At 49.6% G+C, this 26462-nt stretch overlaps 1 protein-coding gene, 1 long non-coding RNA gene and 1 other non-coding gene across 12 annotated transcripts in view; 2 read left to right on the top strand and 1 right to left on the bottom strand.

Annotated features, from left to right (window-relative positions):
* The first annotated feature begins 5154 nt into the window (after positions 1-5154).
* Positions 5155-15177, top strand: LOC105378298 (uncharacterized). Of its 2 annotated transcripts, XR_007062370.1 has the most exons (4): positions 5155-8814; positions 12333-12431; positions 13173-13368; positions 15013-15134. It is a non-coding gene; the product is annotated as an uncharacterized LOC105378298 (long non-coding RNA). The 2 variants fall into 2 exon arrangements; XR_945949.3 differs by lacking the exon at positions 5155-8814 and having other exon boundaries at positions 10742-12431; positions 15013-15177.
* MIR4294 (microRNA 4294) lies at positions 6526-6601 on the top strand. The gene has a single exon (NR_036182.1). It is a non-coding gene; the product is annotated as a microRNA 4294 (primary transcript).
* The window catches only part of WDFY4 (WDFY family member 4), a 298084-nt gene continuing 280778 nt past the window's right edge, over positions 9157-26462 (bottom strand). For 8 of the 9 annotated variants that reach the window (XM_011539988.3, NM_001394531.1, XM_017016463.2 and 5 more), the window contains 8 exons: positions 25440-25587; positions 22865-23049; positions 21824-21982; positions 17072-17251; positions 15134-15316; positions 13720-13804; positions 10635-10746; positions 9157-9604 (listed from right to left, as the gene is read on the bottom strand). In XM_011539988.3, coding sequence (XP_011538290.1) covers positions 9538-9604; positions 10635-10746; positions 13720-13804; positions 15134-15316; positions 17072-17251; positions 21824-21982; positions 22865-23049; positions 25440-25587 — 1119 coding nt within the window. In that variant the 3' untranslated portion in view covers positions 9157-9537. The remainder of the gene's footprint in view (positions 9605-10634; positions 10747-13719; positions 13805-15133; positions 15317-17071; positions 17252-21823; positions 21983-22864; positions 23050-25439; positions 25588-26462) is intronic. The other variant, XM_011539987.3, reaches the window with a different exon arrangement.

Genomic DNA, 26462 nt, shown 5'->3' with positions numbered 1-26462 from the left:
GAAACACAACAACAATTCCATTAAACTGAAAGTTAAGATTGTACCTGGACACTTTGGGCTCCTTCAACAGGCTAAGAAGGGAGTTACAATGTTGACTGGGGTGATTGACCCGGACTATCAAGATGAAATCAGTCTGCTACACCATAACAGAGGTAAGGAAGAGTATGCATAACAGAGGTAAGGAAGAATACAGGAGATCCACTTGGGTGTCTCCTAGTATTACCATGCGCTGTGATTAAGATCAATGGGAAACTACAACAGCCCAATTCAGGCAGGACTACAAATGACCCAGACCCCTCAGGAGTGAAGGTTTGGGTCACTCTACCAGGAAAAAAACCACGACCTGTTGAGGTGCTTGCTGAAGGCAGAGGGAATCCAGAATGGGTAGTTGAAGAAGGTAGTCATAGATACCAGCTACAACTACATGACCAGCTGCAGAAACGAGGACTGTACCTGTCATGAATGTTTCCTCCTTCTTTCGTTAAAAACAGGTTTGTGCATGTATACACTTGTACTAAGAAAATATCTTCATTTTATTTCCTTTTTCTTTAACATGTGACATAAGATTTATTGACTTCATGTCAGCATTTAAGTGTTGCTAACTTCAGGTAATAGTATTTGGGTTGGGGATTGGTGTGTTTCCGGTTGTACAAAGGATAGTTTTATTAAGTTAGGTGTAATTATGACCTTATTGTTTTCTTTATTTGAAGATTATGTATGATATCAGGAGATGTGTGTGGGTTCAAGTTGACAAGGGGTGGCCTTGTGATGGTTAATAATGAGTGTCAACTTAATTGGATTGAAAAAAGTATTGATTCTGGGTGTGTCTGTGAGGGTGTTGCCAAAGGAGATTAATATTTGAGTCAGTGGGGTGGGGAAGGCAGACCCACCCTTAATCTGGTGGGCACAATCTAATCAGCTGCCAGAAAATATAAAGCAGGCAGAAAAACGTGAAAGGTGAGACTGGCCTAGCCTTCAGCCTACATCTGTCTCCCATGCTGGATGCTTCCTGCCTTCAAACATTAGACCCCAAATTCTTCAGTTTTGGGACTCAGACTGGCTCACCTTGCACCTCAGCTTTTAGACAGCCTATTGTGGGACTTTGTGATCATGTAAGTTAATACTTAATAAACTCCCCTTTATATATATATACACACACACATATATGTATGTATGTGTGTGTATAGATGCATATATGTATGTATATGTATACATATAGGTAGGTGTGTATATATATACATGTATGTATATATGTATGCATATATATGTATGTGTGTGTGTGTGTGTGTGTGTGTGTGTGTGTGTGTGTGTGTATATATATATATATATATATATATATATATATATATATATATATATCCTATTAGTTCTGCCCCTTTAAAGAACCCTGAGTAATACAGTGGCTTTCAATGACCTGGAGATCTTAAGTCTGACAAAGTTCAATTCATCATTTTTTTTTCTTAATGGGTGATTTAAATAACTCCAGTTTACAAAGAAGTTTTCCTAGGTTTTCTTCTAGAAATTTTATAATTTTAAGTTTCACTTTTAGGTCTAAAATTTATTTAAAATTAATTTTTCTTGATGGCATGAGGTGTTGGTCACAGTTCTGTTTTTTTCATTGCACATGGATCCTCACTGTTCCAACGCTGTCTGATGAAAGGGCTCTTTCTTCCACTGTATTTCCTTGGCACATTTTTCAAAGCCAGTTGACCACACATGGGTCTGTTTCTGGACTCCATTCTGTTCCATTGATTTCTCTGTCCTCAATGTCAAAAGCACACTGTCTTTATTACTGAAGCTTTCTAATAAGTTGAAATCACATAATGTAAATCCTCCAACTTTGTTCTTCATTCAATGTTTTTAGGCTCTAACTTATTCTAGATCCTTTCATTTTCATATGAATTTCAGAATTAGTTTGTCAGTTTCTACAAAAAAGCCCATTGTAATTTTCACTGGGGTTAGATAGAATCTGTAGCTCAATTTGGGGAGAACTGACATCTCAATAGTATTGGGTCTCTTAATCTATGGCTACGGTGTAGCTCTCCATTTATTTAGGTCTTTGATTTCCCTCAACAATGTTTTTGTAGTTTTCAGATTATATGTATTTTAGTCATATTAGTCCTAAGTGGTTCATATTTCTGATGTGTTTCTAAGTGGTATTGAGATTTTAGTTTCAATTTCTGACAGTTTTTTGGGGCTGAGATGTCCTGAGAGCTTAGACGTGAGGCATGAGGGAGGGGCATACTCAGAGATGTCTCAGAGGTTTTCGGCCTGAGCAACTGGTAGAAAGATATTCCCTTCCTGATGTTGGCCACACAGATACTGGACATACATGATCTTATAATAATGGTTATGATAACTTTCATTGTCATTATTGCATAACTGAGCACGTCCCAAGTTCCAGGCGCTGGATTCCCACCTCACATGCAATTTCTCCTCAGATCCTCACAAAAGCCCTACGAAATGGTTCCCTGATTACTGTTTTGCAGAACACACTGACGAGCTGGTAGATCAGTCAATTTCCCCCAAAGTTACCTAGCTCTTGAAAGAAAGGCAGGCCTGGAACCCAGGGATCGGCCTGTAAACATGCACCACAGCCCCGTGCCTCTTTCTCCCAGGTGCAATGGAAGGCACGCCATGACAGGTGGGGATCAGTGGGTCCCTTTTCTGCTCCGGCTGAGCTCACCTAGCTCGGGTGGACATACCTAGGGCCTCTTCTAGGCCATCTGCTTTCCAACAAAACACATGCCTACCCCAGCATCTTGGGTTAGGGCAGATCTCCCAGAGTGTGGCTTAGGGACCCCCTAAAGCACCATGAGATGCTTGTAAGGCAGGCATAGACAAGCATTTTTTCTATCCATTTTATGTAGTTAGAAAAACATAGACTGTATATCCAACCTGTGATTTCACAGACATTATTGCTTAGGTGAGGTTTCAGTTTTGAAAAAATAGTGAAGTTAATGACAAACACTAAGAATATTGTTGTACAGGTGTTGTCAAAAAATCCTGAAGGTGGTATGGGAATGAGAAATATTTGGTGAACATTTGAATGAGGGGGCAATGCCTCTGAAAGGGAGAGAAGAAATGAAAAGGAAGTCACTATTCTCTTACCAGGCCCTGTGTCATAAACTACGTTTATACTGATAACCATCATCATCATTACCTCCTGAGCTCCTGCTCTGTACTAAGAACTTGACACAGAGTTATGTCATTTTAACTTTCCAAGCAACTTATGAAGTCAGTAATTATTACTTCTATTTTATAAAACAATAAGCATAGGAAAAGACAGCTGAGGCTGAGGGTGTGCAAAGCCCCAAGAGCCTGGAGGTGCCGCAGAGGGGACTGTGAGAGCAACTGGCCTCCTGGTGATCTCTGCAAGAGGAGGAGAAGGAGGAGGAGGAAGCCTCTGCCCTGAGGGGCTCTGAGGCTGAGGCTGCCTCATGGAGGGGCCTGCGTGACCTGTGCTCCCAGCAAGAATGAGCCTTGCTGTCACGGGGGGCTGCTTCCTGTAGTAGTGAGCTCCTTGTTGCAGGAGGAATTCAAGCTGGCCTCTATGACACAAAGATTCCGATGCATTTTGTTCTATTTTTCAAAAGCATATGAACTTTTCCTTCTTCCTTTGTGCTTCATTTTGAGGTGGGGAGAGCCAGCTGTTCTTGACATCCAAAGCTCCAGGGAGAGGCAGGCTATTTGGATTTCATTATGCCAGTGGCCCATCCTAAGGAACACAAGGCCTTAGGCACTTGGTACTACAGTTTGGGGGTGGGGAGTAAACCTGGAGCCTTGACCAGGTTCTGCCACTGACCTGCTATGTGACCTTAGACAAGTCCCTTTCTTTCTCTGGACCCTGGCTTCCACATGTCCAAAGTGATAGTGTTAGAGGGTCTGTGTGTCTCCTGATGGCCAGAGACTCTTGAAGGTTACATTTCAGTCATCTGTGTCCAGACAGCCTCTCTCCATCAGGCTCCAAGCCTGGCTGGGAACAGGTATGCAGTGAATCCTTGTTAAATACTAGTGGATAAATGAATGAATGAATGAACAAGTGCTTGGATGGATAGTTAAGATAACATCATCACACTGATTTTAGTGAAGATCCATCGGTGCTTAAAGCCTGGGCAAAGGCCACAGGGATGCAAAGTGTGTGCTGCATGATTTGGTGGCACATTCCACTTCCAAGTCATCATAGAGTTGTGTATTTATGGTGCTGCATTTCTGGCAAAAGGCAGTAAAATGTCTTGGACAAGTGGGGCAGTTTTCAAGCAGTTTTGGGGCAGACAGAGATCTTAGCTCAGGATACAACAGTGTTCTTTGAGCCTTCAGGGTCTCAGGGGAAGGACGCAATTTGGAGGGTCTTCCTGTTTACTAAGAAGGTCATGAAGGTGCTTCAGGCAACATCCAATAAGAGAACAATTGGAAACAACACAATCACACGTGAGCTTGCACACACACACACACCCTGATCCAGGTATGGGATGTGGATGTGTACCCAAGAACTTACTAAAGCAAAACTGATTTTAGTTTAGAGAGATTTGATTTTATGCTAAACAAATTTCATCAGGATTTTCATATGAAGAGCCTATTCCTCCCCGTATGTGTCCTGATTGGCTGCATTTTAATGTGGTTAAATCCAATCTTTGAGTTCTCTGCAGGCCCCAGAGGGGGAGGAAGTTGCTGTCACAGGGGCTTCCAGGGGACAGAACTTCTCTCCCAGGATCCCTGAGCTCAAAGGAATGGAAGAAGAAGGCCAGCCTGGGGTAGGGGGATGTGGTTCTCATGAGGTCGCCATGGAGGGACACAGAAAGCCCTGGAAACTTGGTCAGTGGCACAGAGAGTCCCACATGGTCCCTCCAAGAACTTCTGCTGTTGCATTTCAGTTCACTGAATACAAGCAATTCATGGGTCACACACTGAGTACTTATGGGTTCTGCCAGGCCTGCTGACAAGGCACCATCCTTCCTGCGCCTAAGAGGTCAAGGGAGCAGGACGGCCAGACTTAGCAAACACAAATGCAAGACACCTGGAAAAAGTTGAATCTCCGATGAGCAACGACTACTTTGTTAGCATAAGTATGTCCCAGTCTGGCCAGGCCTGTCCAGGTGGAGAGATGGGCACAGCTTGAGCGTGCGGCCCCCCTTGTGGGTGAACTCGTCTCCCAGAGGGACTCCAGCACGCCTGGATGCTGGTCTCAGGCAAGCACAGTGGTGCCCGATCGGGATCCCTGCTTTCCTGGGTGCCTGCTGTGGGAGGGATGCCCATCAATTGCTCTGGGCTGCCCTTCCCTGGCCTCTTAGAGGATGTAGAAAATGCAGAGAGACCCAAGGTGGGTGTTCCGTGAGGGGACTTCTGCTGGGGGAGAGTGGGGCATGGCTGCTGTCTAGGAGCTGATCTCAGACGTGAAAAGTGAGTGGGATATGGGGGTTTCTGACCCCAGAGGCTGGGGAAGCCCTTCACAGGCCATCTGTCCCGAGACCACAGGGTGGGCAGCAACGCCTGCCTCCATCCTCACCCCAGCCTGCTGCTGTCAGTGCTGGAGTTCCTCCCAACAGAGTGGAGACTCCGGGACCTGTGCTCCCTGGGAGATGGTGACATATGCAGCCTGAGGCTTCTGTTCCCCATGAGCAGGCACAAAGTCTGTGGGCCCGGGGGAGCCTGAGAGCTGGACCTCCTTTCCCAGACATTTCTGAAGAAGCACAATTGAAGCGTGCCTGCCCTGCTCCAGCCTGGTTAACCCTGGGCGTGGGGCCTGCCAGATGTCTTGAGCCTGCTGTCCCATGTTCTCTGTGTCCCAGGTTCAGGGTTCCTCCATCCCCAGCGCCCTGGCTCAGGGACTGGCTGAGCAAGGAAAACACTGGTGAGTGAAGCAGCCAAGAGCTTGCGTCACAGCGGAATAGGCAGTCTGTTGTTTGCCTCATCCACTATTATTTTATTTTATTATAAAATAAGAAGATATGATGTTACTTTCCTGAGGAGCCCTGAGGTAGACACCAGGATCCCATTTCACAGATACAGAAGCTGTGGCCAAGGCTGGCGGGACTTGTGGAGCTGGGCCTGGTGCTCAGGTGGCCTGGCCTCCTTACCCACTCACCGCATATGCCTGTCCTCCTGTCTAGGCCTCTAGATACCATGTGGCACTGGGACGGGTCCCCCGGTCCCCACTGGACCTGGTGTGCTGGTGAGGCCAGTGTCTGCATGGTCCTGCTTCTGGGCCCCAGGCAGGCTGTGCCCCTGGCTTCGGCCCTGGCTACCTCTGCTGCCTCTGCTGTGGGCCTGGGTGCTGAGCCTGTTCTCTCCTCTCCCTGCACCCCAGGCCTCTGCCCTGGGCTCCCCCAACCACTGACAACTGTCAGGAGCCCCAACCCTGCTGGCCAGACATCGTAGTCCACTCGGGCCAGCAGGGGCCTCCTGTCACTGGAGTTGCCCAGAGCTTTTGGAGCCTGGGCCTCAGTTGTGCCTGGTGCTTTCCTCTGCAGCCCCATCCTGGCTTGACTGCTCCCCTGCCCTCGCCTCCAGCAGCGGACTCTGCTTCCGATGCCTCGGGAGTCTACAGCAGGGCCATGTCTGTGAGGGCCCAAGGGTGCATGTGTCTCCCAGGTTTCGGTGCAGAGCGGCTTCCCTCCTCCCAGCAATGCGAGCTAATCCTGGAGGACCCCACTGGAGCAGCTCAGCATGGAGCCTGTCTCCTGCAGTCTCCCCAGCTCCTCCATGGGGCATTCTCACCCACAGCCCGTCCCTGCTTCATGGATGCCTCTAAAGCTTCCAGCTTCTGACAACGGCGTTCACGGTTTCACCACAAGCTCCCAAGCTCCTGGCTTCTTCCCCTGACATGTCCCGGGCCCAGGGCATGACATTTACAGTTTCCTCTCATTATTCCCACCTCTTCACTCCATTTTGCTTCACCCTGCCCACGGAGGGGCTGCTGCTTGACCCTGCCATCCCAGGACCACCCTTTCTGACATGTCTGCCACCAAGACTCATTCATACGTCTACATGTCCGTTTACTCAGCTGACTCTTGTGGGGCACATTCTGGGAGCTGGCATGGAGAATGAAGCTCTGCGGGTGGGCAGCCCACCTCTGCCAGCCTCACTTGCACTCACTCCATCCAGTAACCAGAGTCTACTCCACAGCCAGGAGCAGCAGCCCCTCTACCTCTCAGCCTCATCCCGTGTGCCCTCCATTCTTCTTCCCACACCCAGCCGGACTCACCCTGTACCTTGGCCGATGCAGCCCAGTCTTCCTGCAACCCCGTCCCTCTGTCTCAGCAGGTTCCAGGCCTGGCTCCAGGGCCACCTCCTTCAGCCAGTGCCATAGGTGGCTGAATTCTGTCCCTGGAGTGGTTCTATGTTGACATCCTAACCCCCAGTACCTCCAAATGTGACTGTACTTGGAGACAGTTGAAATGGGGTCATATGGGTGGACCCTAATCCCATATGACTGGCGTCCTTATAAGTGGAGATGAGGACACAGATGTGCACAGAAGACAGATGAGGTGAGGATGCAGGGAGAAGGTGGTCATCTGCAAAGCAAGAGAAAGGCCTCAAAAGAAACCAACCCTGTGACACCTTGATCTTGGACTTCCAGCCTCCAGAACTTTGAAGAAATGAATTTCTGTTTAATATTGTTATGGCAGCCCCACCCAACTGATATAGCTGAGTGTCCCCTTTGCCTTCCCTAGGGCCTGAGATTTCCTTTTTAGCCCTTTCACCTCAAGTCACATTTGTTTGCAGACACCACATCACCAGGACCCCACCAATAAGACCCAACACTGCCTCCTCATTTTCCCCGTGATTTGAGGGGAAGAAAAGGCAAAAACACTTAAATGAAGGAATCGAAGACAGCCTTTTGGCCAGCAGACCTTGTCAGCCTTGGGTAATGCTGTGATGTGTTTTGAAAAATGCCAGCAGGCTCAGCCTTGATATTTATGACCCTGCTTCTTGGCCTTCCTGGGGAGTGGTGCTCTCTGCTCTTAAATTTATGGTCCTTCAGTGCAGTCCCAGACCAACCAGGGGATTGCAAATGGGCTGTCTGCTAATAGTGTGTGCAGATGGTGTGGGAGGTGGTGTGATCCTTGGCTCTGGGGTCAGACACAAGTGCTTCTCACCCGGGGAGGGGTGCTCCGGACCTGAGAAGGGTCTCCTCCATCTTCTCCTTTGCAAAGCCTCAGAGTTTACAGAGGAATCAAGGTATGCTAACCACCTCTCACTATTTTTGACATGGCTGCACACCAGTTCCACTTTCTTAATATTTATCTTTTAATCAACTTGTTGCCCCCTGGAGGCCAGACGACCCATGGGGCATAAGACATGAAGTGCATGTTCCTGCTATCCCTGGGCCTGGGCTAAATTAGGTGGGGACCCCCTTCAGGGCCTTTGCAGAGTTTGGAGACATGGGGAAGATCAGGATCCCCACCTGGCCCCTAGAAGGGAGATCTCTGAAAGACTAGTTGAAGCTAACAAGCTTAACCTCCCCAAGTCCCTATGTGTCCACCTGAGCTTGACTTTATTAAAAAGGCAGGTGGATTTCCTTTTGAGGAGCTCTGCAAATCTTGGGGTAAGGAGGAGACATTAGAGTGAGGGTGATACCTGTGATGCCCAACGACCAATCCCAGAATGACCCAGGCACAAGAAGGTACTGGAATTCTTCAGAGGGGCACGAGTAACTACCCCACCTGCCATACATTTTCAGGTGGAAAACAAAAGTCACACAGCAGTGCAGATTTCTCCAGGAAGAACTGCAGCTCGGAAGCCAAGTGTGGACCGGGGCCCTGGGAAGAGACTGCTGAGCCAGGAGTTGTCTGGAATCCTTGTCTGTTGCAGGTTGTGGAGATGGGGGTGGGAGTATCACCAAGGCGGGTGTATCACCCCAGGCCAAACTCCCTGAGTCTGCCATGGGCAGCACCCACCGCCATGTCCTGCGGCTCAGCCACAGAGGCTGGGCCTTCTTCACAGTAGCCCCTCACTCCTCAGGCCCCTACACTATGGGCAAGACGGGGAAGAGCCAGTGTCCAAGGTGGAAGATGGGGAGGGGCTGGGTGAGGCTGTGCAGGTGGATGTGCTTCCCTGAAGCCTTCCTGCCTTTCTCAGGACAGAAACACAAATACTTAGAAAGGCAGCATGGTAAGTGGAATAGAGTGGCAGTTTAAAACTGAAGAGCCCTTCTGCATTTAAAACATAGTTGCTTTAATAAAATAAAGACAATACAATAATTTCCAGTAAGCGACCCATCTTTTTTTTTTTCAGTGCAATAGCCCTTAATAAGGTGAGTCATGTGTAATTTCGTGTGCAGCTGGGCATCACCAAGTCACAGTTTCCAGCGTGCTGCTCAGCCCTCCGAGTGTGTGTGCTCATCCTTTTCATAGAAGTCCCATCGGCCATGGAGAGGGTTGGGCTGCAGAGCTGTGATTGCCAGAGGCCCTTCCTTGAGAACTGTGGGGAAGGAGGCCCTGGGGGTTTCTTCTGTAGGCAGAGCTCAGGCCCCAGTCACCTCTGCCACCCTCAGCCTGGCACTGTTGTGCCAGAGCCTCTGCTGCCTCTCTCTTCCTACCCATCTGCAGACCAGCAGAATATTCTCCCCCTCTCATCACCAACCAGGAGTTTGGTGTGGTTTCTTGGGAAGAGAAAGAAAAGACAAGAACGTTAGAGGGACAGTACCACTTGTCCCCGCCAGCACATGGGATATTGCAACTCTGGGGCTCTATCTGGGGCCCAGCGGAGCTTGCCCCTGGTCTTGTCTCCCTTGAGGCAGGGGAGGCAGTGGGAGGAATGGAGAAGGTTTCCACCTGGGGGAGGGGAAAGCATTGAGCTGTGAGGGTGGTGGCTCCCACAGCACTGTGGGGAAGCTCAGGCCCCAGGGAACAGGACGAGGCCGTGCCTCTCTCCAGTGCCTCCAGGTGAGTCTCCTGTCCCACCAGAGAAATAGCCAGGACCAGGGCAGAACAAATGGCAAGTTCTCTGCAAAAAGTGCGGCTCTGGCCCTACCATCATGCCCACCCCACTCCACTCCGCCCCACCCAGCATCTAAAACACTGTGTAGTGCCTCCACCAAGGACCCCGGAACAGCCCACGCCACGCCAGTGAGGGAGGAAGGAAGTCCGGCTCTGCAAGGTCAGCGGCCCCTAAGGCTGCACCTCGCAGTGTGTACAAGGATGTTAATGACAGTAACCACCTCCATGGGTTACTGCGAGTCAAATAACGGGTATGAAGTGTCGGGACTGATGCTTGGCTATGCTACAGCAGCTAAGAGCCCTCAGAAGGCACTTTCTGTTAATGAAGGATAATCATCACACCAAATGTTACAGTCTGCAGTGGAACTCAGGGGAAAAGGCTCTCTTTAGGATAAAATTACAAAACAATATACTTATACCTCTTGGATTTCTTAATGAATGTTTGGATATTCAAGAGCAAGAGAGCAAGGGCATGTGTGAGTTAAAAGCAAAACAAACAACAACAAAACCCTGAAAAACGTTTCCTGGGGCTCTATATGGCCACACGGGCTGCTTCCTGTGCTTGGTGGGGCCATGTCCTGGAGTGAAGTGGCCTCCTCGGCCAGGTGGCCTGGACTCAGAGCCACTGGGGCTTTCCTAAAGGTGGCTGCAGTGCCCTCTGCTGGAGACCCAGAGAAACAAGGCCGCGCTTACCTGGACACGGCCAGAGCAGTCACTGCGGGGCTGGTTTTGCTGGGCTTCCCTGTCAAAGCAATGCTAACGTCCAGCTCTCGACTCAAGGCCAGGTTCTTCTCCCACTTGTGGCCTGTGTGGAGCATGTGAGAGAAGAGTTAGAACGCCAGATCGGCTTCGCACATACAGTGTGCATCTGCACACGGGGCCGCAAACACATACGCACATATTTATATTTGTGGTCAGCAACTTGTTAAATTGAGGGGGAAATATATTTAATCTTGGCCTGTGCTGTTGCAAAAAGGGCCGTCCCAATTTAATTTGCAGGCGGTGATAGTTACATGTGCTGACGTGCCTCGGTATCCATTGTGTACCAAATTGGATTTGTGTATTATTGCTTTCTAAATTGCATGCCTAGTTCAGCAAAATTGTTCATCAGTGTTTACTGGCTTTATGCTTAATAAGATGCCCCACAATACCTTGCTGCCAGGGTGTAATGCAGCCAGTAATTGCCTAGTAAAAATAAATTACATAAAGTCGGCATTATCAACTTATCTTAATCCTCTCACGCCACAACCAGTAATTAAATGCTGAGAATGTTTTTTTCAAAAAATATAACTCAATGATTGTTACTTCACTCATTTTAATGACTGCATTTGGGGACAGACAGTAATTCCTTCAATGTGAAGGGTGAGATGGAGAGACGCCAGCTGGGTACGTCCCTGCGAGGCCACTTCCTTGGACTCAGGGCAGGAGAGATGATACAGCCCCTGCTGTCCTGAGGTGACCACCCATGTGTGCAGACAGGCCATGTGCCAGGAAATGCATGAGGGGTCCAGGTGGGAGAAACCACCTCAAAGCACACCAGGCATTTGTACATTGTGTACAAGTCTAAACAACAAGCTTCTCCCAAGCACTTTTTATGTACCAGATTGAGTCCAAATCTTTGAGGCGATTCCTGAAATAAATTGTACTCAGCTGGGTTGGGCCTTGCTGCAAATGGCAAATAAATGAATTCCAAGCAGAAATTGGATTACATCTGCCCACAAATGCAGTATGCTTAATATCTTCAAAGATCTCCTTTCTTGCCCCTTAAGACATTTGAGGGGTATAGTAATATACACGCCAAGAGGACACACATGCAAATATCCACGTGCCATGCCCAATACAGGTCCCTTTCCAACAAAGCAGTTTTGAGCAATGTAAGAACAACATGCCTTTTTATTAGAGACCTCCAGCAGTTTAGGCTTGTAAATCTGCACATATTTTAGATTTGTTAACTCTAAACTGCAGGCCAGTGTGATTATTTGAATATGTCCATGTCATCCTGTCATTTCATGTTAATCTTCCCTTGAACTGTAATCACAATCTTGGCAGTCAGTCCAATGGGGTGGCAGAGACTTAGGGTCAGGGCAGACAGAGAGGAAGGTTGTGGATCTGGGGCTCCCTGTCAGTCTAAGACCCCCTTAAGTAAGTTTCCTAATGCCATCAGCTGCTGTGTCCAGAGAGAAAAATCTCTCAAAGCCTGCAAAAATGACAATAATGACCTGCATTTGGGGTAGATTCTTGTCTGTGGCTACTATTATTCTGTCATCAGTACTCTACTAGTTAGGATGCACAGGAAGTGTCCCCATTTGACAGAAGACCAGAGAAGCTGCTGTGACAGAGTTGGGTCTAGAACCTTGTTTCCTGCTTTTTACTCTGCTTCTCATTCACTAGACCCCATGACCAGTGAGTGCAACCTCACCACAACCATTGATGCTGAATAGGAACCTGCAAATCCAATGGCACTGCCAGAATCAACTGAATGGCTCTGAGGTGACTTTCATTCATCCATTCATCCATCCATCCACCCATCCATCCATCCATCCACCCGTCCATCCATCCATCCATCCATCCATCCATCCATCCATCCATCCATCCATCCATCCTTCCATCCATCCATCCATTTACCCATCCATCCAGCATTCTTTCTCAGACATCCATTCATCAACCGTAGGCTTAGCTAATGCCGTTAGCTTACTGGGCCCCAATAGCTTCAAAAGTGGGCATTTGAGCCCAAAACTAAAATGGTGTGCAGTCTCATGCAGGTATAGCAGAAAACTGCTTTGTAAGCAGGCTGGGGAATAAGAGCCTTTCCAAGTGGAAGCAGATATGGGAGGGAGTTTGGCCTCTGCTTTCCAAAGATGTGCTGGGTTCCTTAGAATGCACACACTTCTGTCCTTTCACACTGAGATAGGCTGACTCCTTGTGGTGGTCTCCAAGTACCCTAGAGAAACAGAACCTGTGAACTGACGGAGTTCTTGATCTGCATCTTTGTGATATTATTGATCTTTGTGATGTTATTGCCTTGGCTCAGCCCAGATTGTTTACAAGGGTCCCCAGGTGTTATCTTGAAGGAAGGGACCACTAATATAGAGCCTAGGACACAGTAGAGGCTGAGCAAATGCCTGTGTGTACTTGCCTGAAGAAGAATCCACAAATGGGTGACTAAATGAATCAAAGAGGTGTGGACTGTGTTTTAGAAATGAACTAATTGCAAATGTCTACTCTTTTCAGAAGGCAGCCCTCAGAAATCTGGGAAATTCTCTCCTATGGATGATCACAGGTTCTGGGATGCAGAGCAAACAGGGAGCTAATGGAAGCACTCAGGATGATAGAATTCTAACTTCATGAAAACATGTTTGATTGTGGGTCCCAGTAAAGATGTCCCAGTTCTCGGCCAGAATCTTTTCTGAAGACTGAGCTGGAGGAGGTAATGATGGGGGCGGGGACTGGACAGCTGTGATGGATGTGATGCGGTAACAGCTTTGATGGGGAGGTTTGTACCTGTGTTCATTATGGAGGGGTTGGTGATGGTGGTTACATGCCAGTGTCTATGGTTAGGTTATTCTGAGGCCGTTGTGGCTGTGATGGCAGCAGGTGTGAGGATAGTCTGCTTGCTGGGTGACTTTGGGCAAGTCACTGAACCTCTCTGTGCCTTCCTAGGCCTCCCTAGGCTGGGCAGACCTGGGAGGAGCTGCAGCCCTTGGGCTGAGGTGGAGAGAGGGGAGGTGAGGAGGGCAGGGCAAGGCCAGGACGGCCACATCCCTAGCAGGTCAGGTACCTCTTGGGCTTGGAGGCTGAGCCGGGGGCTCCTCTCCTGCTGGCCGTCCAGGAACAGACATCTTCACATCCTCAGTCTTCCAAACCTGCCCCAAAAGAGCAAATGTCATCGGCGGGGAAGACGATCCTGTCTGCAAGCTTGGAGTGGCCTAGTCCATTTCCTCACGCCTAGGGGTCCCCCAGGGAAAGGATGAACACATGGCCCCCCTTTCACTTCTGATGTTAACTTATCATCAGGTAAAAGGTTATTTAGCCTTCAGCTTCCTCATGCAGAGGTTTGGCCAATCACAGTTGCACCTTGAATGAATTTACCCCACCCATGTCCCTAAGTGCATCTCATGACCCCCACAGCCCTTTTCTTGCAGGGATGTGACTCTGCAACCAGTTTATTGCCATTTTGCTCAACCAATGCCCTCTTGCCCATAATGCTACCACCTCTAGAGTACTCCCTCACCCCTGGGTGGCTGGGCACCCCCATCTTGTGTCTGGCCCTTGGCGCTAAGCCTACTGTGGGAGCCCTGAGGCCAACTCACTCAAAATGGCTTCTCATTCACTGGGTCTGGATTTTATATCACCAAAGGGCAAGGACCAGCCTCCTCTCAAATGCTTCTGTGAGCCCCACGCCAGGCTTAGCACAGCACTGGGCCAGTCCAGGAGCTCAGTGACCACATCGAATGAATGAGTGCTGAGTGCACAGAAGACCCTCACTTACGCTTTGGGGGGGCCCAGGAGAGTAATATACTCTGCAGCTCGGCCACCCCAGGCTCCTCTGGCTGGCCCACTGATGTGGGCCACACCCCACCAAGCCCAGGCCATCCCAGGATGCCCTGCTTTCTGCAGAGGCCACAGATAAAGTCCTATGAGGGGACTGCCTAGGTACCTCAGCCTGCATGGATGGATGGATGGATGGATACATGGAGGGATACATGGATGGATGGATGGATGGATGGATGGATGGATGGATGGATGAGTGGATGGGTGGATAGAGAGATGGATGGGTGGATGGATGGGTGGGTAGATGAGTAGAGAGATAAATGGGTAGGTGGGTAGATAAATTAGTGGATGGGTGGGCAAGTTTGGTTTGAATGGATGACGCAAATATCTCCTTTTAGCATTGGGATATAATCTTTTGCATTTAACCATTCAACTTTTATATGTTGTAACAGTATTTATTTTAGTGTGTGTCTGTGTGTGTGTGCATGTGTGTGTCTGTGTGTGTAATACTATATATATAATTTTATTTATTTACTTTTTCCCTGCAAAGAGCCTTGTCTTTTCCCTTCCTTTGCTGTAGGTACCCGTTCTGGAATGGTCTCAAATGCAACCTGCAGGTTTGGCCCCCTGGAGGAAGTGAGAAGAATGGAGATGAACACGTTTCTTGTGTCATGTCCTCATTCTGCCCAAGACACACCTACCCGGACCATGCCGTCTTGACTCCCGGTGATGATGATCTGGCTTGTGTCCCATGCTGGGCCCTCCATCAGGCAGCAGCAGGTTATGGCTCCTTCTGGGCCCCAGGCTGTGGTGATGCTGGCCAGGGGCTGTCCATTGACATTCCACAGGGACAAGTGTGCTCCCGCACAGGAGACAATGGTGCCCTGTGCAGTGAGAGCTGGCATCACTCTAAGCTGGAGTCACTGCCTGCCCATCAGCCACTTGCTCAGCTACCCAGTTGGTACACCCAAGTACTCTCAATCTGTCATGCTCTGAAGACCCCCAAGGTACCCCAAAACTTCTTTCCAGCTGACTTACAGGTCTGCTGTGTTTTCACACAGTTGTAAATTCTTGGTTCTTTTCATACTGCAGTCATGTGCTTAGATACTTCTTTCCTGGCAGAAGGCACCTGGCTCACCCTCAGGCTCCTCCCAGATCCCACTCCCCAACCACACCCTGACTGCCACAGAAGATCCAGCCTGAAGGGTAGCCCTGGCTTTGGACACACAGCTTACACCTGGTAGGTCAGCCCTGCCCCATAAAGAAGTTTTGGATGCCACCTGGTGGATGGCAGGGTACAGAAGTTCCAATGACTGCATGTGGCTCATAAGCTTGTGCAATGTCCCTGAAGAGGGAATTTCTAAGGAGAAATTTCCCCATTGTATCTCCTGATATGCTCACATTTGAGTCTTTCCTCCTCAAGTCCTGTTTATTCTATAGTGGCCACTGTCACCAAGGTCCTGGGGCCATCCCTTTGAGCCTTGCCCTAATCACAGAAGGGATGTAGGGTGCTCAGTGCCCCTCCACATCTCACTGGGCTGGGATCCATTAGAAGTTCCTGAATTGTTAGGGATGGTCTGTCTGAGGCCAGAGGCCATGTCTGATACCTCTCTGCCCCACAACCAGCAAGCACAGACTGAAATCAGTTGGCTGCAGGACAACTTGTCCTGGTGCCAGGCTTCTCTGGGGTCTAGGGACACAATTCCTGATGGGTTTTATATTCTCCCAGGTGAAGGCTTCAATGCCTTCTATACATCAACCCATCCATCCATTCACCCACCATCTACCAATCCATTATCCATTTCATCCATCTTTCCATCCACCTATTCATCCATTTATCTGCTCATTTATCCATCCATCCATCCATTCATTTATCTATCTACCCATCCACTCATCTATCCACCCGTCCATCCATCTATCCATTCATCCACCCATGCATCCACTCATCTACCCATCCATCCACCCATCCATTCACACTCCATCTACTCATCTAACATTGAATCCAGTTTTGAATTCAAGCCTACCTGGAGCACCACTTTCAGCAAAAATTGGAACCAGGAAGCTCCTATATCATCCCTCCTCTTTTGAGCCCTCTGCCCATTTTATTTATGCCCTGGGCCCCTTAGGTTTTCTGTGAGCAGATGCAGAAACCTCTGCATCCTCAGGGAACCCCATATCCCATGACAGGGCTTCAGTCTGGAAGAAATTTCACACCGGTAAGTCGATCTCCCTGGTCTTTGTTAGCCAGTATGGAAGGAGAGGCAGAGAAGCTTGCACTGCCATGAAGACCAAACCTGCCAAGTCAACACTGATTTGAAGGTAAAGACCTAAATGAGTCAGCCACATCCAACAAAACCCTCCCTAAAAGCCAATTTTTCAGCTGCAGCCCCCTGGTGCCCGCAGCAAAGCAGACACTTCCCACTGTCCCCAACACCAGAGGGAGGAAAGTAAAGAAGCGGACATTGAAGCTAGACCTGGGTGCTACAAGTGAGATCTACAGCGACTGTTCCACACAATTGGGGGCCCTCTCAGCATTCTGGGGTGGCTAGAGTCTCTGTGTCTCTGGGCTTTCTCCTGAGTGTTGTACCCCATGCTACTGCGAAGGTGAGGACACGGACACTGAGAAACAGGAGACTTACTGAGACGTCACTGATGGTGATGGCTGAGATGCCTTCCCGATGGGCGGGCAGGCGGGTCACGTGGGTGAGGTGGTCCAGATCCCACAGGATACAGGTGCAGTCCTGGGAGCCGCTCACCAGGAGGCTGAAGGTGACTGACGCTGCCAGGCACGTGACAGCCTGTGTGTGTCCATACAAGGCCTGGGGACAGAGACTCACAGGTTAGGAGAGGGACCCTCAATTCAGCTACTTTTGGGAATTCTTCACCCTCCCTATAAAGCTGGGTGCTGGATGAGGAAATGGAGATTCTGAGTGAGTCAGTGATTCCCAAGTCTGTTGTCTGTGCAGCTGGGGGTGTGTGCATGTGCGTGTCCATGACTAGCCTCTCCATTTCATTCATCTCCAGGGGTGGAGGCTCTGCTGGGGAGAAACCATTTTTTTACTTATAACCCAACCAGAGGCTAGCCACACCTGGATGTTTTGTGCTGCCCTACATCTATCTTGAACCCGGGAGCAGTTCATGTCATGAGTTGTTTTTTTTTTTTTTTTTTTTTTTTTTTGAGACGGAGTCTTGCTCTGTTGCCTAGGCTGGAGTGCAATGGCATGATCTCAGTTCACTGCAGCCTTTGCTTCCCAGGTACAGCAATTCTTTTGCATCAGCCTCCCAAGTAGCTGGGATTACAGGTGCCTGCCACCATGCCTGGCGAATGTTTTTTATTTTTAGTGGAGATGGGGTTTCACCAAGTTAGCCAGGCTGGTCTTGAACTCCTGACCTCAAGTGATCCACCTGCCTTGGCCTCCCAAAGTGCTGGGTTTACAGGTGTGAGCCATCACACCTGGCCAGTTCATGTTACGATTAACATACAAAGCACTGTTGGCAAACTGTGGTGCCCACACCAGCAGGCTCAGTAGCAGCAAGTAGCCTCTTAGAATGCAAATTCTTGGGTTCCACTCCAAATCTCCTGAATCAGAAACGCTGGGGATGGGGCCCTGAAGTCTGAATTTTCACAAGCCCTCAGGGGATTCTCACATGTGCCCAACTTTGAGAGCCATCTCGGTAAGGGAACCTCAGAGGCACGTGCACTCTTGAACTAAACTGGGAAGAAGAAAAGGGGAGGTCACATGGTCATCAAAAAGATGGGGCTTTTCGAGTCTGATAGGTCTGGATTCATAGCCACTGGGACACTTAGACGTCCTTGGTCTTGGTCCTCAGGTTTGGCTTGTGTGGGGCCTGGTCTGACTCATGGATGGCTGTGTGTCCAGATCTGGCTGGAGGCCTTCTTCTCTGTGGACACTTCCCCAAGGGGCCAAAGTGGCCCACCACACATGCTGGTACCCCCTGGCCAACTGCTGCAGGCAATGGTGTGGATTCCATCACCAGCACTCCAGAGGCTGCAGGTCCCAGAGGCTCTGATCTGAGGTCCTCTGCTCACATGTGCTTGCCATCACCTGGACTCAGCCGGAGGGGCACGGAGGTGGCATTCTGAAGCGTAATTGGCCTGGCTTACCAAGTGGTAAACCTCCACCCTCAGGGCAGAGACAATCACTCATTCATTTGGGTCAATGAGGCTAAGCGTCATTTTTCAAAGCTGTCACTTTGCCCGGTCATAGCAATGAAAGGTTCTGCCACAAGCTCCTGTTTGTCCTTAATGGATCCTAACATGACGCCAACCAGATGGTGCCGGCAAGTTAATGGGTATGACCCACAGAAGAAGATTTGGGTCATCCTAGGAAAATGAAAACTGCCTAAGTGAGCAGGAGAAAGCAGAGGAGTTGACAGGAACCTTCTGAATCTCTTCCCAGAATGAACTAAGTCTGATGACTCAGTTCTGACTGCAGGGGAAATAGCAATGCCAAAGAGAACAGAGAAGGGAACCCAGGTGTAAGGCTCAGGATGTAGAGAGGAGCTCTGAGCCCCAGTGCCGGCACGTGTTGTTTACCAGTGGAACCAAGTCTGCCTGCTCTTCCCAGGAAACAGCCTGTGTGCCTGGCACTGCCCACTTAGGTCAGGTTGGCTGCCTTCCGACCAGCCTGGAGACTCCAGCACCACAAGGCATCCAGCACCTACCATTTGCAAGAGCCGAAGAAATCAAGGAAGAGATAGCAGCTTCAAAGGGGGTTTTGTTTTCTCAGAATAATACTTCTCTAAAAGGCCAATTAAAATAACTCCATTATATCATTTTATACCTAACTATAGTAGCAAAAAACGATAGCAAAAAGAAAACCCCGGAAAATAATTCCCCATGCTGGTTACATTGCCATGAAACGGGTGCTCTTGATTGCTGGTGGTATGATTAAGTCACAGAACCATTTTGGAAAGCACCATGTCACTGTACATAATTCTCCTCCTCGAAGTTTATCGCAAGAAAACAATCAGAAGCAAACAGCAACCTAGATAAGATGTTTTCTGCAGCACTATGTAAAATAGTTAAAACTTGGAAACAACTTAATTGTCTAGTTTTAGAAGAAATGGTTTATTAAACTGTAGTGCACTGACATAACAAAACAATCGAAATGCAATTTTATGGAAATGGAATGATATGGAACGATTGAAATGTAAATTATAGAGAATGTAGAAAAATGGAAACAATTGGATAGGCTGAGTGAAAATAGAATAAAATATCTACACAATGATCAGAAAGATATAAATATGTATATCTGGGGATAAGAGTATGCAAAATTGAAAACTTTTATAGGGATGGTAGAGAATTGTTTGTCTTTGAAGTAATTTTAAAATGTCTCTTTAACGTTGCAGTATCTTTAAAAATAAAATACTTTTTGAACCGCCTGTGAGGCTCTTCAGTGATGACTTTCCTGTCCACAGGTCAGGAATGGACCCCTTCACTGAGCAGCCATGGGTCTGGGGAATCTGCAAGCCTACATTAGCCTTTACAGGTAAGTGATAAAGTGTTTTATTTTTAGAAAATAAGAGCATGTGGGATTCCCATATCTTTTCCTGTTGATTTGGAAGTAGGAGAGGATGATAAATTACATTTTTATGAGGTCGATACGAGGGTGTTTCTGTGCATTTTCACTGTTAAATGGGAACTCAGAGGATGATAGAAAAATCACTGCCCCAGTACCCCAAGGCCAGCCCCAGGGTCAGGTGGAACTATGTACAGTCCCCAGGGCAAGCTGTAAATGGGCAATGGGGATGCTGGGGAGAGAGCACTCCAGTCTTTCATTTCCAGTCCCTTTGCTGAGATCAGGAATCATACCCAGCCCACTGACAACAGCAGTTGGTGAAGGTCACCTGCCTGTTGCCTGTACAGCTGCCTCTCAGGGGTGCACTGCCCCTGCATATGTGTCAGCCCCTTCTCGCACTGCCCTATTCATTCCTTCACCTCACATTTGCTGAGTGCCCACGCAGCACCCTCCATGCCCTGCATGGCACCAGGAGACAAGGACACGGTCTAGGGTGACAGAAGTGGCTTGAAAATTATCCAGAGAACCCCAGAGAACATGTTTCAGTGAAACATGTTTCAGTGAAAATTATCCAGAGAACATGTTTCAGTGAAACATGTTCAGTTTAGTAAATTTGGTCAGTGGTGAATTTTTTTTTTTTTTGAGACAGAGTCTCGCTCTGTCACCCAGGCTGGAGTGTAGTGGCGCAATCTCTGCTCACTGCAAGCTCCGCCTCCCGGGTTCACGCCATTCTCCTGCCTCAGTCTCCTGAGTAGATGGGACTACAGGCACCCACCACCACGCCTGGCTAATCTGTTGTATTTTTAGTAGAGACAGAGTTTCACCGTATTAGCCAGGATGGTCTCGATCTCCTGACCTCGTGATCCGCCCACCTCAGCCTCTCAAAGTGCTGGTATTACAGGCGTGAGTGATTTTGTACAGCTTATTTTTGTTTCTATTACTTTAGGGCTCTGTGGCTAACTAAAAAATAGATGCAGAAATGAATTGGATTTTAGAGTTGAAAGTGTCCCCTAGTGATATTCTAGAGCAAGTTCCGGAGTATGCAGGGAGAGCGCATGGGGTTTTGTGTTAGACAAACCTAGATTCAAATGCAAGCTGTTCTGAGCCTCAGTTTCCTTGTCTGAAAGTGGAAATAATAGTTCCTTCTTCATAGAAAAAAATTAGTATACAGAAGGGCCTTGGTGCATTTGGAATGTTAAGCAAACGTTAAGTGCCGCTGCGATTAGCATTCTCTATGAGGGCTGGTGGTGCACATCCTCAGACTCCTGGCTCATGGCTCCTCCTCCTCCCACCTCAACCACTTCCTTTCAGAAAGTCTTTCATTTGACCTTGGATGTACCACTTAAACTTCTTTGCATCTCATTTTTCCTTCACCAATAAAGTAGGGGTGATCATGGCACCTATTTTACAGGGCTGTCAATAAGCTAAAATGAGGCAATCCGTGTAAAAATCCTTGGCATAAAGGCCAACTTGTGGCAAAATGCTCAAAAAATATTATCTGATGTAAGGAAACTGATTTCACCAGACCTGTCATGTGCATGAAGTGACTGTGTGTGGCCCGGCATCTCTCGCTAAGGTGTGGGCCTCTGTGGAGGCACCTGCCCTGTGTACCTGTCAAATGCACCATGGGAATAAAATGATACTCCTGAATGACACTGAGCTGTGGGCCACCCTCTGCACCTCACTTCGCTCATTCCTAGCTTCTGAGGGTGGCAGGGCCCTCAGTGAGCAGAGTTAGGGTGTGTTCCGGCACCACACCTGCCCAGGTGCCATGCCAGGCAGAGGTTTTGTCCCTACATGAAGTACTGTCCCCACCTGAGGACCGCACCTGCACGAGCTGGACCATACCTGCCGGAGGCGCAAGCCCCTCGGGCGGCCTTTGGTCATGCTGAGCTCCCACACACACACCACAGTGCTGGTCCCAGAGGTGACAATCGTTGTTGGGGATGGGCACACGGCGCACAGACAGCGGCCCCAGGCAGCCAGGTTCTCGAATGTCATCAGGACCTGTAGGAGATAAGGGGGATGAGCGCTGCTGTGGAGACAGCAGGGACAGGAGCCCAGGATAGAGTCACGGGGGTATGTGGGCCAGTCTGAGTGCCTTGGGAACTGGGGACATGCCATGTGTTCAGGAGCCAGTTCTTGGTGACAAAATCCAGACCATCCTGGGACCCCACGCAGGAGCTCCTCCTCCAGCAGGTGGGAAGAAACAAGTGAGGGATGCTGGGAAGACCCCATGAGCACCAGCACGGGGTGGCTTAGCTTGGGGGTCAGGAGGGAGGACATGTGGGGCTGAGTTCCATGCCTGCCTCAAGAAGTTGGTGGGGCAAGGCTAGGGAGGGGCTGGGGAGAGCTTGGGGGATAGGGAATTCATTGTAAGTGATGGGATTAGGGGAGGGGAGCTGGAGTAGGAATGGGGCCTGAGGAGGAGGGCAGGGGCCACATCAAGAAGGCAGAGGTGACTGCATGGCCTACACGGGGGCTGGGAGGACCAGTAGGGAAACAGCTTGCTCCTGCCAGCCCCCAAATGCTCAACATGTGTCCTTTGAGTTTAAATCATGATTGGAAACAGAGGAGCCCCCAGGACTTCCCTCCTACACTTAGTGCCAGTGTGGGTGGGCTCAATGTGGCCATGTGTCCAGTTAGCCTCTGCTCTGGAGGTGACAGTATACACTGCCAACTTGCAAGCCTTGGAAGGAGGGTTTGAGGCCCGGCCCAAGGAGGGCCTTTGCATGGTCACTGAGTCCTTTCCCGCCCAGGCTGGCAGCACACCTTGTAGGGAAAGTGAGCGAGGTTGCTTTGGACTCACTTATCTCTGGGCCATCTCTGCCTCCAGCTGGAGGAAGGCTGAGGTCCTGAGGCTGCCCCTGCTCCCTGCAGCCCCCTCACCTTGTCGGAGCCGTAGCTCCCCAAGCAGCAGCTGAAGTCATCAAAGCCCCAGCTGAAGGTCCTGTTCCAGAGAGGAGGCAGCAGCACTTTGTTCCTCTCTACAGCCAGAATGGTCTTCTCAGTAGAGACAATGTGGCCAATGGCCCCTTTGGGGGACTCTGAGCCTAGAGAAAAGAGGTACATATCTACACCCCAGTTAGTATGGCGAACTTATGCATGGAAGAACAGCACCCACTACAGCTGGGCCCCCAGGCAGGAGTCACAGGCAGACACACTGGACTTGAACTTAAGCATGGAAGGACAGCACCCACTGCAGCTGGGCCCTGGGCAGGAGTGACAGGCAGACACACTGGACTTGAACTTATGCACAGAAGGACAGCACCCACTGTAGCCGGGCCCCGGGGCAGGAGTCACAGGGAGGCACAATTCCCATCCTCCCTCAGCTCCACTCTGGGAGCCACCCCCAGCCCCAGCTGGAATATGGCTCACAGCACGGGATTTGGAGCTGCCCAGACCTCATTCCAAGTCTGGTTATGCTGGTGAAGTCATTCCATCTCTTCAGACCCTAGCCTCTTCCCATGGAGTAGAGAAAACCATGCCCCTTTCAATGTGTGTCCCCTGGCACAGAGCCTGGTGCAGCTTGTTGACTCAAAACACTGAGGCCAGCCTAGTTTCTAAGACTGTGCACACCATACCCACCACGTAGGGGCCTTTCCTTCCTCCTGGTGGGGGCCACTCCCTTCCTTGCCCTGTGCTGGGTGAAGTGGGAGAACCACCCTCTTCCTGACCCTACCACCCAGGAGGAAGAGAGGGAGCAGGATTCAGGAAAGGCTCCAGGATAAGACTGTGAGATGTCTCTCCCCATAGGGAAGGGACTGTGGCATCAATGGCCCTTACCTTCTGGGGCTGCTCAGATCAAAGGGAGAGAGTAAAGCCAGGCCCCTTAAAGCAAGGCCCAGTGTGTGTGCTCGGAGTGGCACCAGCATCTGCCAGGACTCCTGCCTCAGCGCTGGCTTGTTGCCTGCCTGTGTGACAGACACCACTTCATGGCACTGTCACAAGCCTGAGGGCAGGGCCATTGTCTTCCATACCTTACACATGAAGAAACTGAGCCTCAGGAAGGATCCCCAGGACCCGTGGCTGGTAAGATCTGCATCAGTCTCCTGGAGCCCACATGGGAGATTTGAGCTCCCTTGTTACTGTTGATGTGGTTTGCACCTCATGTCCCTTTCCATGAGGGCAGGGGCTGTGCCTGACTGCCCAGGGACTTCAATGCAGCAGCGGATCCCCAGTCCTGGGGCAAATGGAGGCATGGTCCCCAGAGCCAAGAGCAGTAGCACCTTATCTACCAGGGTGGGGTGTGCCAATGACACTGTTCTTGGACTTCAAGGATAAAAAAGGACACCACTAAAACCATTGAAAACTTAACTTCATACTCCTTGGGACCTGCATGTTGTTCAGTGTAGTGGGATTTCCCCAAGGCAGTGCATGTCCTCAGATGACACTGGCACCCGACTTCATACATACATGGCCCTAGGAACCCAGCCTCACCCTCTCTTCTGCTTCCATCTGGGAGATCCTCCCTCCTGGGCTGGTTGGGACCACCCCCACCCCAGTGGAACCACCCCCACCCCAGTGGACTCCTGCTTCTATAGAGCCTCTCTGAGCCTTGGTGGCAGCCAAGGAAGCCACTGAATTATGGTCAGAAGAGATGGACTAATAATCACCACTATGTGCTGGGCACCGAAGGTGGCCCATCTCATTGCGCTCTTGCTGACTGGCCTTGTTGAGGAGCCCCTGGTCCCTGGAAGAACTGTTTCTCAATAATAGGGCCAGAGTGACCCTCTTCCCTCCCTAAATCACATGGCTCCCTTCACTGGCTCAACCTATTTCTCATGTTTTTCATCTTTTCCTCACCAACTCTCTGCAGGCTCATTTATCTAAGCATCAATACAAATCTGTAGTAGCATCCATTCAATGCTATTCCAATCCCCGTGGGAACAAGGAGGTTCAATGGCTTGCCCAAGGTCACACAGTCAGGAAGCAGTAGGACTGGAATGCACTCCTGGGCCATCTGCCCCAGAGCACATGTTCTTAGCTACTGGCTGCCTGCTTAGAGTGCTTAGCTTAGTCCCCTGCCCTGCTTAGGAGGACCAGTGGCCAAAGCACAGAGGCTGTAATCCTTCCTTGTGAAACTTGGGACTCTCCACTGGTCTCTTGAGGAGAGAAGGTATGTGTGTGTACATGTGTGTGTGCATGTATAAAAGAGAGGAAGAGGAAGAGAGATGTGTGTGTGTGCCTGAAAGAGGTGTCTGTGTGTGTATGTGTGTGAGAGAGACAGACAGAAAGACAGAGAGACGTGGGTCTTCAGAAGTTAGGGTCTAACAGAGGAGCTCCTAGACACTTCCCAGAGATGACACCCCCCTAGAATCTGGCTGTGACTGGAGATGCAGCCATTCAAAGTCAGTCCCCAATACTTTGCCCAGGTATGTGGTGCTGGACCTCCAGAGGAACCCAGCCACTGAAGGGACAACCCTGGGACAGGACACCAAACAATGCATGGCCAGGGAATCACCTTTGACCGTGACCTGGGAGGGCCTCAGCGACTGCAGGCTGTAGAAAAAGGGCTGTGGGTGGCCAGGCAGGCTCACGGGGGTGGAGACATCCTTTCCAGGCAGAGGCTTCCCTGCTGCAGTCCTGGCTGGGTGAGGTTTGGTAAAGAGCTAGAGAGACAGGGAACAGACACACATGAGGGGAGAGATGCCCAGAGGAGGGGTCGTCCCTGTGCACACTGTAGCTGCACCCTGTCTCTGGGGGTTGCCACAGCTCGGCTTGTTCCTGACAGAGCTGAACATGAACAGAACCTCTGGTCCAGCCCTCAGACGCTGCAGATGAGGGGCCTGGGGCTCACAGAGGGACAGCTACTTTTTCAAGGTCATAAAGGCAGCCCTTCTGCCTGCCAAATCTCTCCTTTCCCAAGCTGCTTGGGAGAAGACTGGCCTCATTGAAGAGCCCCTGGTCCCCAGAAGAACTGTCTCTCAATCATGAGGCTGGAGTGACCCTCTTCGTTCCCTAGATAACGTGGCTCCCTTTATTGGCTCAACCTATTTCTCATAGTTTTCATCCTTCCCTCACCAACTCTCTGCAGGCTCATTAAGCATCAACACAAGTCTTTAACAGCATCCATTCAAATATTCCAAAGAACACAGGCAAATCCCATTAGTGGCCTATTTCTTATTTTTCTCCAATCTCTGCCATCAGATTGTGCCTAATGCCAAATTTTCTGCAAAACCAAGCCAAGCCCTGAGCATGAGCCATGCTGCCTGGTTGAGTCCTTGCTGCTGGACTCTATATCAGCTGTTTATAGATATAGATATAATCTTTATCTAACTGATATAGATATAATCTATATCTAACTGGTATAGATATAATCTATATCTAACTGATACAGATATAATCTATATCTAACTGATATAGATATAAGTTTCAACTCTATATCCAGCTCTCTACCTTGCAGTCTCTCCCAGACTGCAGCCCTACTGGCTGCTCTTTCCAGCCAGAAGCACATTCCTGCAAGTCATCCACCAGGCGTACGCTG

This window comes from Homo sapiens, chromosome 10 (assembly GCF_000001405.40).
Source record: "Homo sapiens chromosome 10, GRCh38.p14 Primary Assembly".
In the NCBI taxonomy this organism is placed as follows: domain Eukaryota; kingdom Metazoa; phylum Chordata; class Mammalia; order Primates; family Hominidae; genus Homo; species Homo sapiens.
The sequence above is the reverse complement of the archived record's forward strand: the minus strand, read 5'-3'. Positions and strand labels throughout refer to the sequence as shown.